Here is a 23,335-nt window from a genome sequence, read left to right on the forward strand (position 1 = left end):
AAAAAACTTTGTAAAAAAATTAGACAGGCATGGTGGTGTGGGCCTATAGTCCCAGTTGCCATAGATAGTGATTCCTCTGAAGGATCTGGGCAAAGTAAATTGAAAACCTTCTGGAAACGATTCACCATTCTAGATGCCATTAAGAACATTCATGATTCATGGGAGGAGGTCAAAATAACAATGTTAACAGAAGTTTGGAAGAAGTTGATTCCAACCCTCATGGATGACTTTAAGGGGTTCAAGATTTCAGTGGAGGAAGGAACTGCAGATGTAGTAGAAATAACAAGAGAACTGGAATTAGAAGTGGAACCTGAAGATGTGATTGAAATGCTTCAATCTTATAAAATTTGAATGGATGAAGAGTTGTTTCTTATGGATGAGCAAAGAAAGTGATTTCTTGACATGGAATGTAATCCTGGTGAGGATGCCGTGAACCATGTTGAAATGACAAAAAAAGGATTTAAAATATTACATAAACTTAGTTGACAAAGCATTGGCAGGGATTGAGAAGACTGACTCCAACTTTGAGAGAATTTCTGCTATAGGTCACATGCTATCGAACTGCATACATGCTGCAGATAAATTCATGAAAGGATGAGTCAACAGACATTGCAAACTTCATTGCTGTCTTATTTTAAGAAATGGTCACATCCACCCCAACCTTCAGCAACCACCACCCTGATCAGTCAGCAGCTATCAGCATGGAGGCAAGACACTCTACAGCAAAGATTATGACTCACTAAAGGCCTAGATAATTGTTAGCATTTTTTAATTTAGCATTTAATGTTAGCATTTTTTTTAAGTTAAGGTGCATACTTTTTTTGACATAATGCTGTTGCACACTCAATAGACTATAGTATAATATAACTTTTATATGCACTGGAAAACCAAAAAGTTTTTTTGACTCATTTTATTGTGATACTCACTTTACTGCAGTGGTCAGGAACCGAACCTGCAACATTTGTGAGGTATATAAGAATTGCTCTCTATCTCCTCTCAATATAATTGAAATGCTATTTTTAGTTCCTTTATTTTATTTATTTATTTATTTTTGGACAGGATCTCACTCTGTCACCGAGGCTGGAGTGCAGTGGCACAATCACAGCTCATTGCAACCTCAAACTCCTGGGCTCAAGGGATCTTCCTGCTTCCACCTCCTAAGTAGCTGGGACTATAGGCCCATACCACCATGCCTAATTTTTTACAAAGTTTTTTTGTATAGATGGAGTCTCACTTTGTTGCCCAGGCTGTAGTTCATCTATTGATGACCTTTGGTCCACAAGTAATTCGTCTACCTCATATGGTTGTTTTGAATATTAAAAGAGTTAATAAATATAAATAAATATAAAATACTTAGGACAATGATTTTTACCTGTGTGTATGGTGGCCACCTCTTCCTCTCATGCCCTGCCAAAGGTGAAACTGTTCTCATATCTCATCACTCTATTAGAGTAGCTTTTCTTTTTTTGAATTCAGGCTACTTGGTCATCTTGCAATCTTAGCTCTTTGGTGAGCTTTATTAAAGTTATGATTTTGTAGATTATCTGGCTTTTTCTCATTTTTAGGGTGGGACTATGTTCTTCGTACTTTCCTGCATGCTAGGTGGGAATAGAATTTCCCATTTTTCTTATTGTGTAATGTTTTCTTACTGATTTATACATGAACTGATGAATTATTTTAGAAATATATTTTTTAAAAAGCCTTAGAAGCAATGATACCTAATAGCAGTGATCATACCTGGCACCCAGAAGGTGGTTTGAAATACCATTCCCAATAAAAATAGCCAAGGCGCTGTGAAGGATTGGCTTTCGCAGGGCAATAACAAGACAAGAAAGTACTCAAAAGCTGATGGAGATATCACAAAAGATGTAGCCTGCAGGTGTCCTACTCGCCAATTTGGGACTCTTTGAATATTACAAAGAACAACAATGATGGATCATAAGCCTTAAAAATGAAGAATCCATGAGTTTCCAGTGATATTTCAGGATTGCCAGCTTGTAAATGCAGAAGGAATGATAGAAAATCGCCATTTTTTAAATCACCTGCGTAATAATTGATTCAGGTAGAGATCATCAGTGAATACTAAAACCACTGGATAAAAGATTGTTGGGAAACAAAGCCCACAGTCTCAAAGTATCTCAGATTACTTAATAATTTAAAAGGGAAAAATATACTTTGATAATGGAGAAATCTAGTGATCAAACTTAGCATCATGAATAATGGATAAACTGACATTGTCTGCCTCCCGAAGTGATATACTGAGAAGGCTATAACATCACCTATGTATTTTGCTGCACAAAGTGTTAACTAACTGAATATAATCATGAAGAATTAGACAAATCCAAATTCTAAAAGCAAAAATTGGACTCATCAAAAAATGTCAATGTCATGAAATCCAAAAGAAGGTAGACAGTCTGTTCAGGATTAAGGAATACTAAAGAAATAACTAACTGCAGTACAAGAGCCTGAATTGGAAAAATGAGAAACAATGGCAATCATGAGAGGCAGTATTGGAACAATTAGAGAAATTTTAGTATTAACTATATCTTAAATATTATGTATTGATGTTAGATGTCTTGAGAGGGACAGTGGTGTTATGGTTAAGTCTGTGTATGTTCTTGTTCTTAGGAGATGCAAGATGAAATATTTAGTGGTACAGGGTCATGAAGTCTGCAATTTATTGGCAAATTTAACATCTCTGGAGAACATATACACATAGATAAAGCTAATGTGGAGGAAATGTTGGCAGCTGGTGAATCTGGGTGAAAGCTATAAATGGTGTTCATTGTACTGTTTAAAAATTGTTTTGGTTTGACACTTTTCCAAAATAACTTTGAGGGTAAGAAGGTCCAGTAGCTGTTGTCAATTCTTGATCAGGGTTCTCTATTAAAAAATAATTTAATTCTTAGAAAACAGATATTCTCACTTGGATAGTAGTTACATAGCGATTCCTTTTTCATCTAAACTCTTATTTTTTTTTCTGGAAAGGGCAAATTCCTAGGAAGGCAAAGCTGCGAAGTAAAATAACCCTATAAATAGTGAGCCCCATGTTCTTAGATTTGGCCTTAAAATGTACCAGCTACTTTCAGGATGAACATCTTATATTCATTCACGTTCCCTGATATTTGTGAAAGAAGGATCCTCACTGTGTCATGATTCCAAAGTTCAATCCCAAAAAGTTGCTGTTAGTTACATAGAGCTTGCTCTATGTATATTTACAACTGGTGAACCCATGGGCTTGCCTTTTATTTTCTTCTCGTGCACTGATGTCTGGACTCTTCACCATGACCTCACTGATCATGATAAAAGTGATTTAAATTGCAGTTGATCTTTTAGCATATAATAAAGCTAACTTGTTTTCATAAAATGGGATGGCTATGCTGAAATTTCAGCCTAAGAAAGGTACTACAGATTATTATCTATGGAGATACTATTTAAAATACTGTTATTACCAAAGGAGGTGCATCAGGATACATCTCAATAACTGATTTATTCTTTCTTATATATGTGTTAGAAGTAATCCATCCCAGAGTATCTGAGATTTAACTGGAAATTCTTGCTGTGCTTTCATTTATTTATTTATTGAGACGGAGTCTCACTCTGTCACCCAGGCTGAAGTGCAGTGGCACAATCTTGGCTCACTGCAACCTCCACCTCCCAGGTTCAAGCCATTCTCCTGCCTCAGCCTCCTGAGTAACTGGGACTACAGGCGCATGCCACCACACCCAGCTAATTTTTGTATTTTTAGTAGAGACGGAGTTTCACCATATTGGTCAGGCTTGTGTTGAACTCTTGGCCTCCTGATACACCCACCTCGGCCTCTCAAAGTGCTGGGATTACAGGCGTGAGCCACCGCACCTGGCCTGTGCTTATATTTAAATGTCTCTTGTCTCTTTTATGTTTTTCTTTGAAATATGCTGATTTTGTGAATTGATGAAACCAGTATCAAATTTACCACAGGCTCTGTGTATTGATGACACAACCCAGGAAGAAAATTCTGAAAATCAGTTCCTAGAAAACGTGGTACAACAGTCTCTGCTCTGGTTTCTGAGGAACCCAACTAAGTTGGATACATTTTCTCTTTTTTCCTTATTTCTGAAAATTAATTTCAGAATATGGGGAAAAAGATTATAGACAAAGCCTTGTACTATAAGCATTATAGATAAAGCCTGATACCACATTTTTCTTCTTTTAAAGAACAATCCAACCCTATTAAACATATATCTGACGATTCTCCATAGATAAAAGAAATAGTTCTTGGAAACAATAATGCCTTATATTTAGCTTTTTAGATTGTTCAATCTGTGTTCACATTTCACTTGAATCTCCCACTCAGTGAGGAAGTCGAGGTGAGATTCGTATCCTCATTTGACAGGTTAGGGAAAAAAAGAATCCTTTGATTATGACGAGTTGTGCTGGAGATGTAACTAGAATTTAGATTTTCTTTCTCATAGTCTGTTGGTTTTTCCACTTAAGTGCTTTGTCCAGGTGGCATCATAGTTGGCACCATTCCATGATTTTTGAAGGGCAGTTTTTCCCATATAGACATCTATGATGCCTGATAACTTGACTTTAAAGTAATTACTGGGAAGGTTTATAGAATTCTTTGTAGCTTTTTCTTTTTGTTTTTTCAACTAGATTCTTAAGACCCTGCCAACCCAGAACCAAATAAGGCATAGAGGGGAGTTCATGGGGAGTTAGAACCTTTCCCTTTTCCCTATTTGCCATTCCTGGCTAATTACATGGACTCCTTCTTTTTAGACCCTGGCTTTGATGATTCTCTTAAGATGATGCTTGAAGCTGCTTCAGAACTCCTTTAGAACACCTTCTACTTTGTTTCTTTCTCTTTATCTAGGATCCCTGAAATTTCCAGATTAGGCATCTATCTAGTTTATAGGACTTGTTTTCTTTTCAGTGTTCCTTAAGCGTTTATTCCAACCTGCTCGCTCCATTATTTTCTTCCACAAACCCTAGGCCATTTTCTCCCAGGGATTTACTGTTTCTAGGGGAGGCTGTGAATTGGGGCAGCACATCTCCTTTGCTGTGAAGATCTGACTGTGTGCTTGTCTTTCTTTTTCTTTTTGTTTTTGTTTACTGACCCAACCATCTCAAAATTTGACTGCCTACCCAGATGAGTGGGTTAAGATACAGTGGGACTTTGTCTATTATTGGCTTCTACTTTGTCCATCTGACCTTGCATGCTTTTTCTGTGTTCATGTGTACCCCAACAGGGACTAGTCTCTCCATGACTGGTCCTCAGGGCTATTCTGAATCCTGACAGTCCTATGCCCATCTGGAATACTAATTATTCTCTAGATCTGCTCACACATATTCTGCCTTGCTGGCTCATTTCCTGTTGTCCAGAGCCATTCTCACCTTTTGCTAGGATACAGCACTCCACATCAGTGGAACTTTGGGGTCACAAGGCTTTTTATTTAATTCTAATGGAATGTTCCTAAAAACTCTTCCCCCCGAGATGAAGAAAGAGAAAACAGGGTTAGAGGATCAGTCGGCAACCCTCAGTACTTATCTCAGTGCTTCTTGCCTACACTACATGCTTTAGAACAGCATTTACCAAGAAATATGAATTATACAAAAATGTCCTCCCAAAGAAGGGTTGCACAGTTAACAACTCAGGAAAGCTGTATATTGTGCTTCCTCTTTTGGAAATGTGTAATGTACATTAACATATTAAAGACTCTAAGAACTGTAGTAAACATAACTGGCTTCAAACCAAGTAAGTTTGGTATTTTCCAATTTATTTCACCATGGAATCTTCTATCATCATCATCAGCAGCAGCATCATCATCCTCAGACATAGCACTTGTTAACATGTTATGAAACATTTGGGGAAATGATGCTAAAGACATATACTGTTATTTCTCTCCCTTGGACTAGAATCACTTTCTTCTCTCCTTTCTCTTCTTTCCAGTTCTTTCCAATCTCCCCTAATCTAGGTACCTTGTTTTTTAAATGATGGCCAAATAGTGCAAAGTTGCAGTTAGATAGGAGGAATAAGTTTTGAGATCTATTGCACAGCAGGGTGACTATAGTTGATAATAACGTATATTTAAACATAACTAAGAGAATAAACTTCAAATGTCTCACCACAAAAAAGGATAAGTAAATGAGGTGATGAATATTTAATTAGCTTGATTTAATCATCCCACATGTCAATTACATTGTACCCCATAAACATATACAAGTGTGATTTATCAATTAAAAATAATAATTTATGTTTTGTTTTAAAATTTATATTTTCCTTGACCATCTCCTTAGCTCCCCCCACCCATTGTACAATTGTACCTACTTCCCTGATACTCAATAGGTATCTCAATATAAATCAGAAGCCTTTGGTGTATGAAAACTTACCACACTATTATACTTACTTAGCAATTTTGTTAAGTTGAAGGCATTAAGTGGGATTTAATTTAGACAATTTTTAGATTCAGTTCTAGATGAGAGAATTAAGAGGGACACTGACAAGCAACAGAGGGGGTTGGGTAAACAAGATAATGAGGCTGTAAAATCATGGCGGAACAACGGAAAGACTAGACGTTTAGCTTGGAGAGCATTAAGGCTAGGGAGGGAATGTAAGTGCTTCGAGGCAGAGAGTATGTTAGTGTGTTCACCATTGTGTCCTCAACTCCCAGCACCATGCTTGGCTGAGTAGGGGTTCCATCAATACTGAGTGGATGAGTGAAAACATACCTGTCTTCAGATACATGAGAGGTGAGGTTTGTGAAATTCCAGTGAGGGTAGGAATATTTTTGGCTCATGTAAAAGCTTTATGAGGTTATTCTGTCACCTCATTTTATGATTAAATATAGTAATTTTTAAATTTTATGTATTTATTTATTATAAATTTTTACTATTGGCCACTCACTGCTAGCAATTGAGGATACAGTGCTGATAACCCCTTTATACACTCATAGGAGATAATGTAGAGAAGGTTGTTTAAGCAAAAGATGACCCTGTTTTCAGAGGTAGAAGCCAACGTTCAAAAGTTAAGTGACTTGCCTAGGATCACTTAGGTATTCTGTGAGGATTCTCACTTCAAAACAATTGTTCTACGTTATTATGCCATTTTATAGATCTGTAGTGGTCAGCATGTAACATTCCTAAGAAATAATACAGTCTTTAAATGATCACTTATACTTTGATAAAATCATCACTTATTACACCCCAAAATTCTGGAGTCATCTTTGACTCCCCCATTCAGGCAAGAAGTCATGTTGGCTCTACCTTCAAAATATATCCAAAATCAAGCATTTCTTCTTGCCTCTGTTCTTACCACTCTGGTCCCAGCTGCCTTCATCTTTTATCTGGATCATTCCAGGAGTCCTCAAATTCTTATCATTCCCTCTCCCCTTGCCTCCCTACAATCTGTTGTCAGCACAACAGCCAGTGTGTGGTCAGGAATTAGAGCATGTCACTTCTCTGCCCAGAGCCCATCAACAGCTTCCCATCTCCGAATAACACCAAAGTCATTCAAAGGCCTTCAAGGCCAAACACAGTCCAGTCCCTCTGACCTCTCCGGCCTCATTTGGATTTCTCATGTACTTCAGGTCTCTGTTCAAATGTTAGTGCATCATTGATATCCTCCATCACCTCCTTATATTAATAAGCAATCCTGGGTGTGGTGGCTCACACCTGTAAGCCCAGCACTTTGGGAGGATGAGGCAGGTGGATCATCTGAGGTCAGCAGTTGGAAACCAGCCTGGTCAACATGGTGAAACCCCGTCTCTACTAAAAGAATACAAAAATTAGCTGGGCGTGGTGGCGTGCACCTGTAATCCCAGCTACTCAGGAGGTTGAGGCAGGAGAATCACTTGAACCTGGGAGGCAGAGGTTGCAATTAGCCGAGATCGTGCCACTGCACTCCAGCCTGGGCAACAAGAGTGAAACTCCGTCTAAAAAAAAAAAAAACAAAAAAAACCCACAAAATTTAAAAATCCTCCTTACCCTCAATGTCTTTGGGCTGTTTTTTCATCCCACTCTCTCTGCTTTCTACTATTTCTAGCTCCTTTATTGTTGGTACATAAAGCAATGATTAGAGAAAAATCTTTTTCCTTACCATTCCCTCTTGGTTGCTGATGCCCCTGTGCTGGCTGTCTTATGGGTTCATGTGTGAATTCTTTGGGATTCCTCCCCATGGCGTACATAGTTTTCTGATGTTAGAGATCTGTTCTAGCTCCACTTTTCAACTTCCTGTGGAGAGCATCCAGGCTTGGCTCTCTCCACAGCTTCTAACTACTGGGATACTATCATCCCTGGGCTAGGCTCTTAGATGGGGCATTGTCAAGATGACTCAAAGCCCTGTTATCTTACACACTATCCACTAGGCACCCAGAAAACTAATATGTCCTTGCTGTACCAGCCACTGAGTTGCTGCACGTTCTCCTTTTTTCTCTGCCATTTCTCTCTGGTTCCCTTGTCCCTTACTAAAGCAGGTACAGAGAGTGAAGATTCAAGTCTACTGCATGAGCAGATACTCGACAAAGGGATGAGAGGCCAGCATCCTTTCCTTGCAGGCTTCTTTTATTGTGTTTGATTCTCCTAGAAATTTCTCTGATTCTCCTAGTCATTCCAAAGCAAGTGACCTGCTTTTGGCGTAGTGGAAACAGGAGTGAATGTGGTGTTGGGGGAAGCACTCTTACCCTTGCGGAGAAGACAGCATGCTTTCTCTAGGCAGCGACTTGCACTGCCAAGGATTTGCCTCCAGTTCCTACTCTTCTCCTTGCACTGGCTGTGGTGGGAATCAAGCTGGTTCTGCCCACTTTTAGCAACTTCTGTGGAGTCTTATGTAGCATTCGGTAGCTCTCTTTAGAGTGTGGGGGCACTGGGTGCCTGTCAGTTTTCAGCTCTTAGACTTTAGATGAAATTCTGAGCTACAGGAAAAATTCCATTTAGAATCCTGGTACCTAGATTATTTATAATTTTTAAGGAAGGTTCAGGGTAGAGTATAAACTCTTAGGGACATTGGCTGTATTGTGCATTTTTTCTATATATTGCTTAATTCACTGATTTATTAGAAACTCACTGATTATAATATGCAGTATTTGGCCATAAAGCATTGGACCAAATCCAAATCACTTTTTATTTCGACTTTTTGTAACACGTATTTGACTGTAGTTTCAGATATTCAGGTGAAACATTCTAGAGTACCAGGATTCTGATCTGACTTGAGAGCTCTTGATCCTATAAGGAAAATGCAGGCTTAAGTTATCTTTGCCTTGGACAAGTACATGAAAGAAAAGAAATTCTAGCTGACCTGACTACTGACTGGCTCGAGAGGTAACATAGTTAGGTACTCTCAAATTTACAGTCCAAAGTATGACAGTATGTTCCCCTGCCAGCAGATTCATGAAACCTGATGTGTAAAAATTACCTTCATATTACAGTGTGGCTTATTCAAGTATTTTTACTAAGCACTCACAGGGTTAATGTCTTTAATGTTTGAGCAGACTTTTTAGAATTTTGGTTTGATGAAAAGTAGGCCATGAACATTTGCTGAGTACTTAGATGTAAAGAGTTCTGAGTGATTATAGTCATGAATTTAAATGAAATGTATTTAACTTCCAGGGTGAAAAGGAACAGCCTGTATTTGCAATGACCGGCCTTCGATGGGGATCTTTCAGAGATGCTGGCGTCAAAGTTAGCAAGTAAAGGATTACTATATTGATGTGTGATGTTTTTTAAAAAAATCTTATTCTGTCCCTGCCTTTCAGGTTTTAATTCACAGTGATCTTCTGGGAATAAATTTGGTGGGCCTGGAGGTTGAATTATGTGTGAATAATGGAGGTAGGAACAATCAGGTAGAGGTTTATGTCCTATATGCAGAAAGGCTGGGGAAAGTTGCAGCTTCCTCAACACTAGCTGGGCAGTAGCTGAAGAGGAGAAGGGTATGTCTCTATTTTTAGACACACTATTTGAGCATAGGTTAGGCTCAAGCTAGGCTGTAGGGAGAACTGGATTGCCTATCATTCTGCAGCTGCTTAGCTGGGTACCAAGTGGAAGGGACTGCCTGGGCTACAGCCTTACGGAGCTGTTGCAGTCAGACAACTTTTCCTGAGAGGTATTTTTGTGAAGGCCTCGCAGATTGGGAGACCACAGGCCGCTGCTCTTAGAGGAGGAAGAAAGGCGGCGCCTGGCTGTGCTGTGAGATGGGAGAAACAGGCCTATCGAGGAGCTGATTAGAGGGCCAGTGTTGGCTTTTCATGAGAATTGACTTATTTTTGGAGAATCCATTGTATGCAATGAAACTCTTGGCTTGGAGAGAGGGTGTGTCATGTTCCATTTGCTGTGGAGAGGTAAAGTAGGCAAGGGCTTGCTGAGCAGGACTGCAGGGGACACCATGTGAGATTCGCTTCATACCTGGTGGTGGTATTTTCTCTTTACCTTTTCTTAAAATCGAGGGCTTACAGTTTGAGTATAGTTTAAATGAATTGTGGCTGATCTCACACATAGCTCTCAAGAAATTGCTCTTTCACTTAATAGGCCAGCCTGCCATGCTTTTTTTTTTTTTTTAACAGAAATTTCTCTCACTTGTTTCACTTTATTATTCTTGCTAATGAGATTCCTGACAGTGAAATGTCAAAAGAGAGACATTACCATATTATATTACACATTGCATTCTGAAGTATTTCACATCTTTTTATTTGCAAGTGTGCCATGATTATGGGATTCTACAAATTACCTTGTGTTTGATCTGAAATCTCAAATCCAGCAGCTCACCAAGAGAAACTGCTTAGCTTTCCCCAAAAAAGTCTGGTTAGGACAAATTGCTTTCCAAAATGTGTTAAGCAACAAGAAAGCACAGTACAGATCAACGCTTTTAGGACTATTTTATATACTAGCCCCATATCTCGATTGGTTTCTGCACAAAGAATTTTAAAATTCTGATTGTTATTATGTGCTACCTTGGCTAGGCCCTTCCACAGAGTTGCTGTTTGTATTAAGAAAGAAATGGTAGAGATATGAGAAATCATTTCCTAGCTGGCTGTAGGAAGACTACAAAGTCAGTGGCAAAATGTACTATTGGTAGAGATGAAGGAAACTGAGGAAATTTTAGAAGGTAACTGCCTGAGTTGAGATGACCTTCTACTTGGCTAACTAGGGAAAGAAGCAAACTATAAAGTAAATTTTAAAAAATAATAACACAAAAAATCAGATGATCAAGGGCCTCATTAGTAGTAGCACAGTATCAACCTGAATAATAATTTAGAATGTTTCTGCATTCCCTCTTGGATTATATCTAAGCTCTTTGTCTGTTATTCCAGGCCCAACTTACTCTGTCATCACCCCTAATTATATAATTATGTATCTTTACTTCTAAGCTTTTCTCTCTTTCTCTGACTGTTATCCTATTTCCCATACTCTAAGTTTTGTACCCTGACTTTATTCTGTGCCATTCATTTTATAGGCATGGCTGCTCCAGTGATTTTAGGCCCTTAATGACTTTGTCTCTTTTTGATTCCCCTTACCAATAAGCAGTGATCAGTTTATGCTTTTCCTTATAGTCATTCATTGTTTGCTTTTACATATTTGGGTCTTATTTTCTCAAATCATAAGCTCTCAAAGGTGGGAAATTTATACTTTATATTTCTTCTGTTTCCTCCGCATTCATAGTGGGTGCTAAATAAATGTATATGATCAGAATCAACAGAGAGCAGTTAATGTTGAGTGATTTGTTAACAGAGATAAGTTTTAAGAGAAGAATCTATTTTATGCCGTTTTCTAATTCCGATTAGGTGTCTTCCTCTCTCCAGTAGCTTTTATGTATTTAGCAATATGCAATAGATTCTCGTTATTCCCAGATTTAACATTTGCCATTTTAGAGCTATATAACATGAGTAATGTGAAATTATGCTGGTTTACACATTTTTAATTGAGTGTGCATATGTGCATTTGTGTGTGTGAGAGGACATGGTGTACAGGATCTAGTCATTTAGCTTGGGATCAGCACATCAGAGCATGCAGTGTTTGCATCTTAGTGTGGCTGTATCATCCTTTACTCATAGCTCTTTTGAACGTACACTTGACCCATTGTATCCATAGATGTAAACAAATGCAGATAGAGAATATTTGGGGAAAAAAATATTCCACAAAATTCCAAAAAGCAAAACTGGAATTGGCTGCACACCGAGTACTGTGTTGAATCCGTGCAAATAAAGTGATGTGTAGGCACTGTATTAAGTGTTATAAGCAATGTAGAGATGATTTAAAATATACAAGAGAATGTACATAGGTTACGTGCAAATATGCCATTTTATATCCGGGACTTGAACATCTGCAGACTTTGGACTGAGGGACAACTCTATACCAAACTGTATTCTATGGCTTAAAGGATGTGTTTAAAGGATGTTGTGAATTTAGTGACTCAAGGAGCCTGGTTATATATCTCTCATAAATTGCAAGAATCTTTACTGCGTAACTAATTACATATAACTTGACAAGGCATCAAAACGTGGATTTAAAATTGAATGTAATACTCTTTTATACTAAGCCATAACCTCCTAGCTACCAGAATAGCCACTCATAGCAGAGATGTAATTCTAATGTATTGTCTGCCATGAATGGTATCTATCACATGATAGTTCTTTTGATATTCTTATCAGATTTTTATCTTGGTCTTTTCACAGGTACTGGTATCTTGGGCCTCTAAAAATCAAAGCAGCCCACTTTTTCAGCACTCTTAAGGTAAATGTGATTTACAGTGTAGAAATTTGCTGTGTTATTTTGTTGTTTCTCTGTAATGCATATATTTGGTATTTTTTTTTAATTCCTTGCTACAGATGAATGTGGCATGCTTCAACACTAAAACAGGGCATGTTTGATTAAATACAAATATAGAACGCATTCCTGTTTTGATAAGCAATCACCCTTTATCTACCAATTCATTCCCTCTACTACCAAACCCATATTTAATCTCTCTTAAGCATTCTACTTGCCTTTGCTATTAATTCACTCTCTTGCCCGACAGACCTTGAACATAATGACATATTCTTCAGCGATTATTTTATGCTTGTCTATGTTAGTACCTGGAAATGAATTGAAGATTTGTATCTGAATATATAATATCTAATTGTACAGGTTTGTGTTTGTATCAGTAGGTTTCAAACTGTACCAGCTAAATATGGGCGGTGGTTACTGTATTGGAGAGTATAGATATGGAACATTTCCATGATCAGAAAAAGTTTTGTTGGGCACTGCTACTCTATATGATACAATAAAAAATACTGGCATAGAGAAAAGCCTAACAATTTTTATTAGTGAAAATGCTAATAGAAAAGTCATCTTTAACTGTGGACTACAGACTATATTCAGCTTTTATGCAAATCAAAGTGGTATATTGATAGTTTGGCCAATCTGAAAATTGGCAGATGGGGTTTGAATGTAGTGAGAAGGTTGGTTCCAATGTTAATATTCAGAGTTATTGAATGTTTTTCTAATTATAAAAGTAATACATGTTCCTTGCAAAACATTTGGAAAACATAGCTTCCTTTACCTTTTAAAAAAATTCTGGCTGGATTAAAAAATTAAATGTAAAACCCTAAAATCACTGAACTACTAGAAGTAAATGTATGTGATTTTAAAAATGAACTTTGCAGGGCAAGGTCTTTATATACCAAGGGCAAACTGGATTAGTAAAATCGGTTATTCCTCGAGTTTCATTGGTGGAGTTGTGAGTGCATTTAGGAAGAAATAGAGTAGCTACATATTTAAATGGAATATAAACTGTTGCCACTATTTATTCAGCAAACAATAGTTGACATATGCTTGGGATACAAAGTCAAATGAGACAGGTTTCCTGCCCTCAAGAAGTATTCAGATGCTGGGAGGGAAGTGTAAGTAAATCAGCAGTTTGGCAAGTGCTGTGAGAGAAAGATAGAAAGATTAAGAAGGGAGCAGAGAGGAGGGGCATCTAAATCTAATGAGGGTCAGAAAATCTTCCCAGCAGAGGAGACACACTAAATTTTGAAACATTTAAAGGCTGTGTGAAGTCACAGTGGTGTGACATGGCCCTTAATTATGATTAATGCAGTAAAATGGCAGGAAGTGAAGCCAGTGGGTTAGGTAAGGGCAGGTTATGGCGGGTTTTGATGTGCAATTTGACTTTTATCCTTAAAGCAATGGGGAGTTATTGAGTCTTGAGCAGAGGCATGAAATGAGCAGATTTGCATTTTAGAAAAATTGTTTTTTTCTAAACAGAAAAACAGATAGGATGTAGGTAGCTCAAGGCAAGGACATTAGATAGAAGGTTGTTAAAGTAGTCAGGTGGGAAGTGACGTATAGACTAAGGAGGTAACAGTATTGACAATAGAAGATGGATTAAAGAACTCTTAAGTTAGAACCTCAAAAGTCAGAAGAATGTAGGATTATCAGATTTCTGGTATGAGGGACTAGAGTTTGGTAACTGGAGTTTTCCACTGATGTTGGTAATACTAGAGTAAATCAAGTTTGTGAAGAGAGATGAAATTTTCAGTTTAATCTATGTAGAGTTTAACATACCTGTGGTACAGACAAGCAAAGATACAATTGTGATTTAGGTCGGAATTCAGCAGAGAGGTCTGGACTAAAGAAACAGATTCAAATGTCATAAGTGTGTGAGCGGTGTTGAAACCATGGGTTGGGTGAAATTACCATTGAGTACAGATGGCCAGGAATATCCCTAAGGGACATAAACATTTAAAGAACCACCAAAAATGACTGAGAAGTGCTAAGAGAAAATGCAGGAGAGAATACTAACATAGAAGCCAATAGAAGAGAGAATTTCAAGAAAAAAGTAAGAGTTTCGAGAAGCAAAAGCAAAGACTTTAAATATACAGACAAGAGAGTATCCATCGAATTTGGCAGCCTCCAAAAGCTGGGCAGCCTCCAAAGTGTGGTGGCTGAAGCCAGACTGAAGAAAGTCAAGAAATAAAAGTGATGTAAAGAAGTGGAGACAGCAAGGACACGCTACTCCTTCAAGAAACCTGACTTTGAAGAGAAGGAGATAGGGAAGGCAAAAGCTGAGAGAAACATGGGGTCAATATGGAATTTTTAAAAGTGGAGAATATCCATGTGTTTCTAGACTGAAGAAAAAGAAAAGAATGTGAGGAGGTGAGAAGGGAGACAGAAAGCATGACTGAATTGGCAAAATCCAAGAGCGGGTAGAAGGGCGTGGGATCCAGAGTACTGGATTGTCCCTGGACAGGACAAGGGGCACCTTTTTTCATTGATACAGAAGAGGAGTAAAGGGTAGGTCCAGATGAAAATGAGATTAGAGAAAGTTAAGGTATTCTCACTGATGTCCCTGATATTCTCACTGAAGTGTAGGAAGCAAAGTGATCCTGTCAGAAAGGTGGTGAGTAGTGGTATGGGGTATCCTGAAGAAAGATGAATGTAGGAGGAGGCTTAGGATTATCAAGTAGCACTGAAGACCTGAGGCTAACAATTTGTAGACATGAATGCTCCTTTGGGTGACTGCTTTTCCCTGTATTAATACTCAGCAGGAGTATCATTTTCTTCTCTAGTAATACTGAGCCATGATGTAAGAGTACAGGAACTTAATGACAAGGCTGATCCAGAACTGGGGCTTTTTAGGACATATTGTAGAAGAATAAAGACACAGGAAAGCCAAGAGTAAGTGGAAAAAGAAAGCACTTGAAAGTAATTGACTATCAGTTTGGCACTGAGGGGAAAATGAGTGGTCAGGGAGTAGAATCCTCAATGTGATTGAAAACTTGGTGCAGTTAGGTCTTCAGGGGCCCACAATAAAACCCCTCTCTTCCTCTTTTTAGTTTGAACCAAGGTATGAAAACAAATGCAGGAACTAGGCAGATGAAGATCAAAACGTCATCTTTATAAATGTCAGCAGGAGTGGAGGACAGAGCACAGATACGTGGTCTCTATCTGATCTCCTAATACTGTGAACAAAGGTGTCCATTGAAACAGCTCCTTCAGGGCAGAGACCACCACAAGAAGCTAATTTTCACCACATGAAAATTAGAAGCAGTGACCGTTTGAGACAAGGACAGCTGCTGTCAGAGAGAAAGGAAAGGGCTGGATCCATGCATTGGTCCTTCTAGACTTGGGGAGGAGTGAGTAAGCAGTGGAGTGAGAGAAGCCAGTGTTGCTACTGCTTTGTAATTCACCACCTGGAAACTTGAGAACAGGGAAGCATTTCACCCTAAGAGACACAATGGGCACAAAAGAATCAACCAGAAGAATATGGGATGTGATTAGAGAGCAGGATCTCAGGGTTTTAGATTTCCAAAGTGGAATAGTTCTGGGTGACATTAGGGGCCAGGATGTGGCCATGGAAATGGGTGGATGTGGTGAATCAGAGGTGATGTCAAGGGCTGAGAGGCTGGGGTATGGTTTTATTCATTCATGCGGTCAGGATGTGATCCAGGGTGACACTGGACTTGGGATGCCAGGACATAGAAGACAAAAAAAATTAGAGTGTGAGGGTGATGGGCTTTGAAGCAGAAGTGAGAAGCCTTGGGCTGGATTGTGAGCCTGGGCTAAACCATTCTGGCCTGTGTGTGGAATAAGATTCCAGAAGTGAGGTAGGTACTTGATGCAACTGGATTTCCTCAGTTTCATTTTGCATCACCATCTGTAAGCCAAAGATAAATTTATTACGGATGACCCTATGTTCATTCACCCTCTTTTTGGACAAATGTAAATGGTGGTGGTTAGCCAATTTTAGGGGGAGCAATGGAGGCAGTACTTGCTGAATTCATGGTTTTTAAGATGTAGCTTTAAGAGGAAAAGAAAGCTTGAGGATTCCATGCTCCAAACTAGCATTCCATCCAGTGAGAGGAGATTATTAGTTCACTTTCTAGCAGGTATAGGTAGACAAATAAATAACTTTTGCAGAGAGAAACTCCCAGAGTGGAATTGTACATGCATAACAAAATTTTTCTCTCTCCACATTAAAAGGAGTGGCCTCAGACTCATCAAGCCTCTATCTCATACACGGGACCTACAGAGAGACCTCCCAATGAACCAGAGGAGACCCCTGTACAAAGGCCTTCTTTGTACAGGAGAATATTACGAAGGCTTGCGTCCTACTGGGCACAACCACAGGATGGTGAGCAATGTGGCGACTAAAGATTGGAGGGCCCTGGTCAGTTTAGAAGTGCCCTAAAGTAGACCTCCAAAATCAGTTTTAGAGACTTAACTAGAGCAGGAGAAGCCTCTCAGGGATCACTGAATTCATCCTTCTGTGTGCCACCAGAGCAGGCCCAAGCAATGTGCCATCAATGGGCATAGCAGTCTCTGTGCACAGTCTTTCTGTTAACGTGACTGCTTTTGGTAGTGATGTTTTAGGCACAGAGATGCCATTTTTACCTCTATGTATAAGAAGCATGAAATAAATAAAATGAAGGCAGAGTCAGCAGAAAGGTTGAGAAGCTGAGCTGAGCAGCTAGCAGCTAGCCGTCCGTGGTGGGTGGTGAAATGTTAATGGAAGAAACTGACCTGTATCTAATGGATTCCCACAGCCCTTTCCCAAGAGGTGAGCCCGGAGGTCTGGAAAGATGTGCAGCTGTCCACCATTGAACTGTCCATCACAACACGGAATAATCAGCTTGACCCGACAGTAAGTGTGCTTTTTTATTAGAAAAGCATTTGGTACCTAAGAAAAGTGACAATAGCTATAGTCCTCTCCCACTAATTCAGTTATTTTTATTTTTACCCTGTGGAGATAGAGAGGGCAGTGTCAGGAGAAAGAGGATGTGGTGTGCCTTTAAGGAATAACAGCAATGAGGAGAAGCTGCCACCTGCAGGAGTGGCATAAATGCTTCTGGGGCTCTGATTACATGTTCTGCTCATTGCTTAATTGGCATTCAGAGAACTTAGGGCAAGAGGGCTTTAGAAATGAAAATTAGCTATTCCCATTTGTCACTGGAAAAAAATTGTGGAACTTTTAGTTGAGTAAATATCCACGATTTTTGTGACTGTACTAAATATGTCAAATTAGATCCTCAGGAGAAAAATACCCACACACATACATCTGTATCTATATCTACATATTATTTATTTAGGCCCAATCTATAGGTATGCACTATCCCATACGGTAGCTATTAGCCACATGTGGCTAGTTAAATTTAAATTAATTAGAATTAAATAAAATTCAAAACTTAGTTCCTAAGTCACACTCACCACATTTCAAGTGCTCAACAGCCATATGTAGCTAGTAGCCATCATACTGGAAAGCACAGGTATACAGCCTGTCCGTCAGTGCAGAAGGTTCTGTTGGGTGGTGCTACTATAGACAACACACCCAAAAGTATTGAAATAAAGCAGGCATTGGCAAACTGGTCTGCCACCTGTTTTTATATAGCCCAGAAGCCAAGAATCTTCTAATTTTAAATGATGCAAAGAAAATCAAAAGAATAATTTTTGTGAACAGAAAAATACGTAAAGTTCAAGTTTCAGTATCCATAAATAAAGTTTTATTGGAGCACAGCCATATTCATTCACAAATATATTGTCTGTGGCTGCCTTTGTGCTACAGGGGAGAGCTGAGTAGTTGTGACAGATTGTATGGCCCAAAGCCTAAAATGTTTATTATCTGGTCACTTACAGAAAAAGTTTACTGACCCTAGTATAGAGAAAACCTTGGTAATTTATATCAATGAGAATGCCAATAGGAAAGTAATTGTTAACTGTGGACTAATTACATTCAGCTTGTATGCAAATTAGTCTGTTCACAGTTGTCTAGGCCAGTCTGAAAATTAGCAGATGGAGTTGGAATGTCGTGAAAAGTTTGATTCCAATATTAATAGAGTGATAAGTTTGATTCTAATATTAATGTTCAGAGTATTGAGATGTTTTCTAACTATGAAAATAATACATGTCCATTGCAAAACATTTGGAAAACATAGCTCCCTTCACCCTATAAAAAAAATTCTAGTTTGATTAAAGAACTAAATGTAAAATAATAAAATCATTAAAGTAGTAGGGTAAATGGCACACGTTTATACCTATGTAACAAGGCTGCGCCTCCTGTGTATGTATCCCGGAACTTAAAATAGAAGTTTGAAGTTAAAAAAAAGTATTAGGGTAAAATCTAAGTGATTATCAGTATAAAATTAAGGAGGACAAGGCCTCTCTAAGCATGACATTTAAGGCAAAAATCATATTGATGCATTTGTCTTTTTATTTAAAAAGACATTCTAAACAAACTTTTAAATGACATATTGGGAAAAATATTAGCATGTGATAGACCAGGAATTCACTTTCCTTTTAACAAGCTCTTAGGATAAAGCAATGAGAAATGGGCAAAGGACTAATATAAAAAGTGAGCAAGGGGTAAGAATAGAAAATTCATAAAAGAAATAAGCATATGAAAAAATAGCTTATATTTGCTGATTATTTACTACATGTGAGGCACCTGTCCTAAGAATTTTACATAATATTATGTAATCCTTATAGGTAGATATCTTTATCTGCATTTTGTAGGTAAGGAGACAGAGTGATTTCAGCAAAGAAATGCAAATTAAAATAGTAAGATTGAATTGTCATGACTAAAAAGCATGTTATAGATTAAAAGCTTAGTGGTGGTGTGTGTTTCTGATGGGAATATAGATTGGAACATCCTGTCTCAGCAATTTGGCATAGTATACATAAAGTGTCTAAAATATATGCATACCTTCTGCCCTATTAACTGTATTTCTAGGAATTTATCCTACTGGAATAACCTGATGAATATATAATGTAGGCAGTCCTTTTTTACATAATGGAAATCTGAAAAACACTGGTGAAAGTGGATATGTGAATGCTAAAAAAAAAAAAATAGATTCTGTTCCAGAGGAATTTAAAAGAGAAAGATAAAATGTCTAATTATACATCTCCTTTATACCAAGTCTTTAATAATATGTATTCCGAGTATTTTATTCATGTTCTTTACCATTGTTCTTTTCTCTGATGACTGAGTACCACTGAATGGATTGAGTTCAGTGAGTATGTGAGTGCGCTCAAGATTAGCCACACTCACAATGCCAAGTGCTTTTTATCTTTGTGCCTATTTAAAAGTATACGATACTGTGCCGCTTATCACTAGTAGCAGCAAATTCATTTGTTTCGTTTTTGCACAGTTCTTTATAAAAATAAAAGCAAATGCAATACAATAAAGGCAGTGTAGCTGCCGTGTAATAGCTCAAAATGTTCACTTATTAAAAGCAGCACATTCAGTGTATGAAAGAAGCTGTAGGAGTATAGAATGTGTGAAAATTAGGATCTCTTATACAACTATGCTCACTGTATAATAGTAAAATATTTGCAATGAACTAATCAGACTGAATAAATTTTGGTACATTTATTAAAAGTCATATCTATTTTATATATGTATTATTTTCTATCTATTGACATGGGAAAAATAGGTGAAAAGATTTGCAACATAGTTCCATTTTTCTTTAAAAAGGAAATACCCCCACTTATAAGTGAGTTTTGTGAATGATGGAGGTAAAGCTCCAATTTTATGTTCTTTCCAAATAGAAAGCCAGTTGTCCAAGCGCCATTTATTGAAATCTCCATTTTCCCCCATTGATCTTCAATAAACCTCTGCCATACATCATGTCTATATACATGTAAATGTTTCTAGTCTCTTTCTTCTATTGTTGTTCCATTTTCTCATATTTATACTAATACTCTGCTTCTCTTATTATAGTTTTATAATAAGTTCTATGTTTTTCTCTTTTTACACAGTCTCTTGGCTATTCTTAGCTCATTTGAGTTCTATAAATATTTTAGAATGTTTATTTTATTAAATTCCACATAAAAATGTTATAATATTGATCTCACTGCATTGTACCCATAGATCAATTTGGAGAGAAATGACATTTCTACAATATTGACTCCTCTAGCATATGAACGGGGTATATCTCTTCATTTATTTAGGTCTTCAATGTCTTTCAATGAAGTTTTATAGTTTTCTCTGGAATATCCTGTCTTTTGCTGGATATATTCCCAGTTATCTTAATTTTTATGCTATTCTAAATAATATCTATTAAAATTTCATTTTCTACCTGATTTAGTAGATGGACATATAATTGATTTTTATATCAATGCTGAATCAGCAACCTAATTAAATTATTATTAATTATTCTAACTTTCTTTCAATGAATTCTTTCAAATTTTCTACAGATTTAGTCATGGCCAATGCAAATAGTGCAAGGTTTGTTTTCTCTCTTCAAATACTTATCCTTACAATCCTTCATTTTACTTAGAGCACTGGATAGGACCTCAGTACATGGTTAAATAGAAGTAGCAGTAACAGGAGTCCCCATCGTCTTTCTTATTTCTGATTTAGAGAGAAAGTCTTCATTGCTTCATGCTTGTATTTAATGTGCTTTCTTTTTTTATAGACACCCTTTATCAGATTAAGGCAGTTCCTTTCTATTCCCAGTTTGCTAAGCATTTTTATCTTTCATGTTAAATATCTTAGATATTTAATTTTATCAAGTACTCTTCCAGCATCTATTGAGATAATAAAGTTTCCTCATTTAATCTGTCAAAGCAATAAAATGAATTGATTTTTGAATGTTAATGTGAGACTTTTGGCCAAGATGTAGCAAAAAGCACCAGCTTTATACCTTAAACACCTTAAAAATTGGACAAAATCTTTGAAACAACTATATGAGACATTGGTATGAGACAAGCAGCATAGGACAGTGAGTCCAGAGAGCAAGAAGTTGAACACAGTGAGCCTGATGCTTGCCCGAGGTGACTGCTGGAGAGAGGCCACAGCCTGCGGAGAGGGAGCCCACACAGAGCCCATGCCCTACCTCAGTTGAGGGGTCTTTGAGAATTTGAGAAATCAAGGCAGCTAGAATTGCAAGGCAGGATACAAGAGAGCCCCATGGAGAGGAGAGCCGCACCCAGAACCAAGCTAGAGGTTTACGGAGGTGTCCTCTGGAATCTTCAGCTGAGTACTGACAGGTGCATGCATGTGAGAAACCACCACCCGAGATAGAGGTTGAGTTACCTACCAGTGAGCAGGCGGGACAGTCTCAGGAGAGTCAGTCCTCTCACAAAGCCAGGAATAGTTCGTGTTCAAACCAATTAGAGTAGAAAATCCTCTTCAGACATGGGGCATTGGGTAGTGTCCTCAGAAAGGTATTGCCTCAGTAGTGAGTCAAAATTAATTCTAGACTAAAGGCTGCCCTCTTCCCTGTTAACAAAGCTAAAGGCTCACCTCCAAAGAACCACAGTTTCTTTCTAGGTAACTTAATTGTGCCTCCAGAACAAAGCTTTAGAACAGGGGTCAGCAAAGGACAGCCCACAGGCCCGACTATCCTGCTGCCTGTATTTGTACAGCCTTGAAGCTAACAATATTTTTTACATTTTTAAATCATTGAAAAAAATCAAAAGAAGAGTATTTTTCCCCGTTACGTGTGGAAATTGTCTTCAAATTTCAGTGTCTTTAAGTCAAATTTTACTGGAACACAGGCAGGCTAATTCATTTGAGTATATTCTCTGGTTGCTTTCAGCTACTATGGCTGAGTTGAATAGCTGTGAGAGAGACCTCATGGTCTGCAAGCCTACAGTGTTCACTCTCTGGCTCTTTACAGAAAATGTTTCCCGACCCTGTTCTAGCTGAAGTGTGGCTCTCCCCTGAGTTTTGCCTTTCCCACAGTCTTTAAGCAGTGGCTGTGCTTTCTTTCTTTTCCTCCCCTTGTATGCTGGGCCTGGTGACTTGGTGGTTGTCCTCCTGACTCATCACTGCTTTAACCCATTCTTCCTCCTCCTCTCTAACTACCCCCCCACCCAGCCCCACCTCTCAATGTCCTATTGTCAGAGCAGATCATTGCTCCTGGGAGCTCCTGAACCCTGGGCCGTTCTTACACATTTATCTATAATGTTAATTCCTAGCCCACTGTCTCCCTCTCCAATCTACTCCTGTCTTAATTCTCAACACGGCAGCCAGAGTGATCCTATTGAAATGAAGCCAGAACATATTTCCCTCCTTAGAACCCTCCAGTGGCTCTCTGATTCATTCAGCCTAAAAGCCAGCTTCCTCGCCATGGTCTATGAGGCTCTGCTGATGTAGCTCCTCTCTTCCCTGTCTTCCTCACTTGTTGCCCCTGTCATTCGCTCTGCTCCAGCTACACGGGCTTCCTTGCTGTTCCCTGCTGTCAGACATGTTCCCCCAGCACCACCTGAAGGCCTCCGCCCCAGTAGTTCCCCTTGTGTGGATTGCTCATCCCCGGATTAGGGGTTCTCAAAGTCCAGTTCTCAGATCAGCACATCAGTATCACATGGAAGTTGCTCGAGATGAAAATTCATGGGCCTCACCCCAGATCTACTGAACCAGAAACTTGGGATGGGGCCAGAGTCT

At 38.4% G+C, this 23,335-nt stretch overlaps 1 protein-coding gene across 4 annotated transcripts in view; it reads left to right on the forward strand.

Moving 5' to 3' along the window:
• The window catches only part of AGK (acylglycerol kinase), a 103,835-nt gene that overhangs the window by 72,906 nt on the left and 7,594 nt on the right, over nucleotides 1-23,335 (forward strand). For all 4 annotated transcript variants that reach the window (XM_024446835.2, NM_018238.4, NM_001364948.3 and 1 more), the window contains exons 10-13: nucleotides 9,586-9,665; nucleotides 12,645-12,702; nucleotides 16,933-17,083; nucleotides 17,496-17,593. In XM_024446835.2, coding sequence (XP_024302603.1) covers nucleotides 9,586-9,665; nucleotides 12,645-12,702; nucleotides 16,933-17,083; nucleotides 17,496-17,593 — 387 coding nt within the window. The remainder of the gene's footprint in view (nucleotides 1-9,585; nucleotides 9,666-12,644; nucleotides 12,703-16,932; nucleotides 17,084-17,495; nucleotides 17,594-23,335) is intronic.

The sequence above is a fragment of the Homo sapiens genome, chromosome 7 (genome assembly GCF_000001405.40).
Source record: "Homo sapiens chromosome 7, GRCh38.p14 Primary Assembly".
NCBI classification, from domain to species: Eukaryota; Metazoa; Chordata; class Mammalia; order Primates; family Hominidae; genus Homo; species Homo sapiens.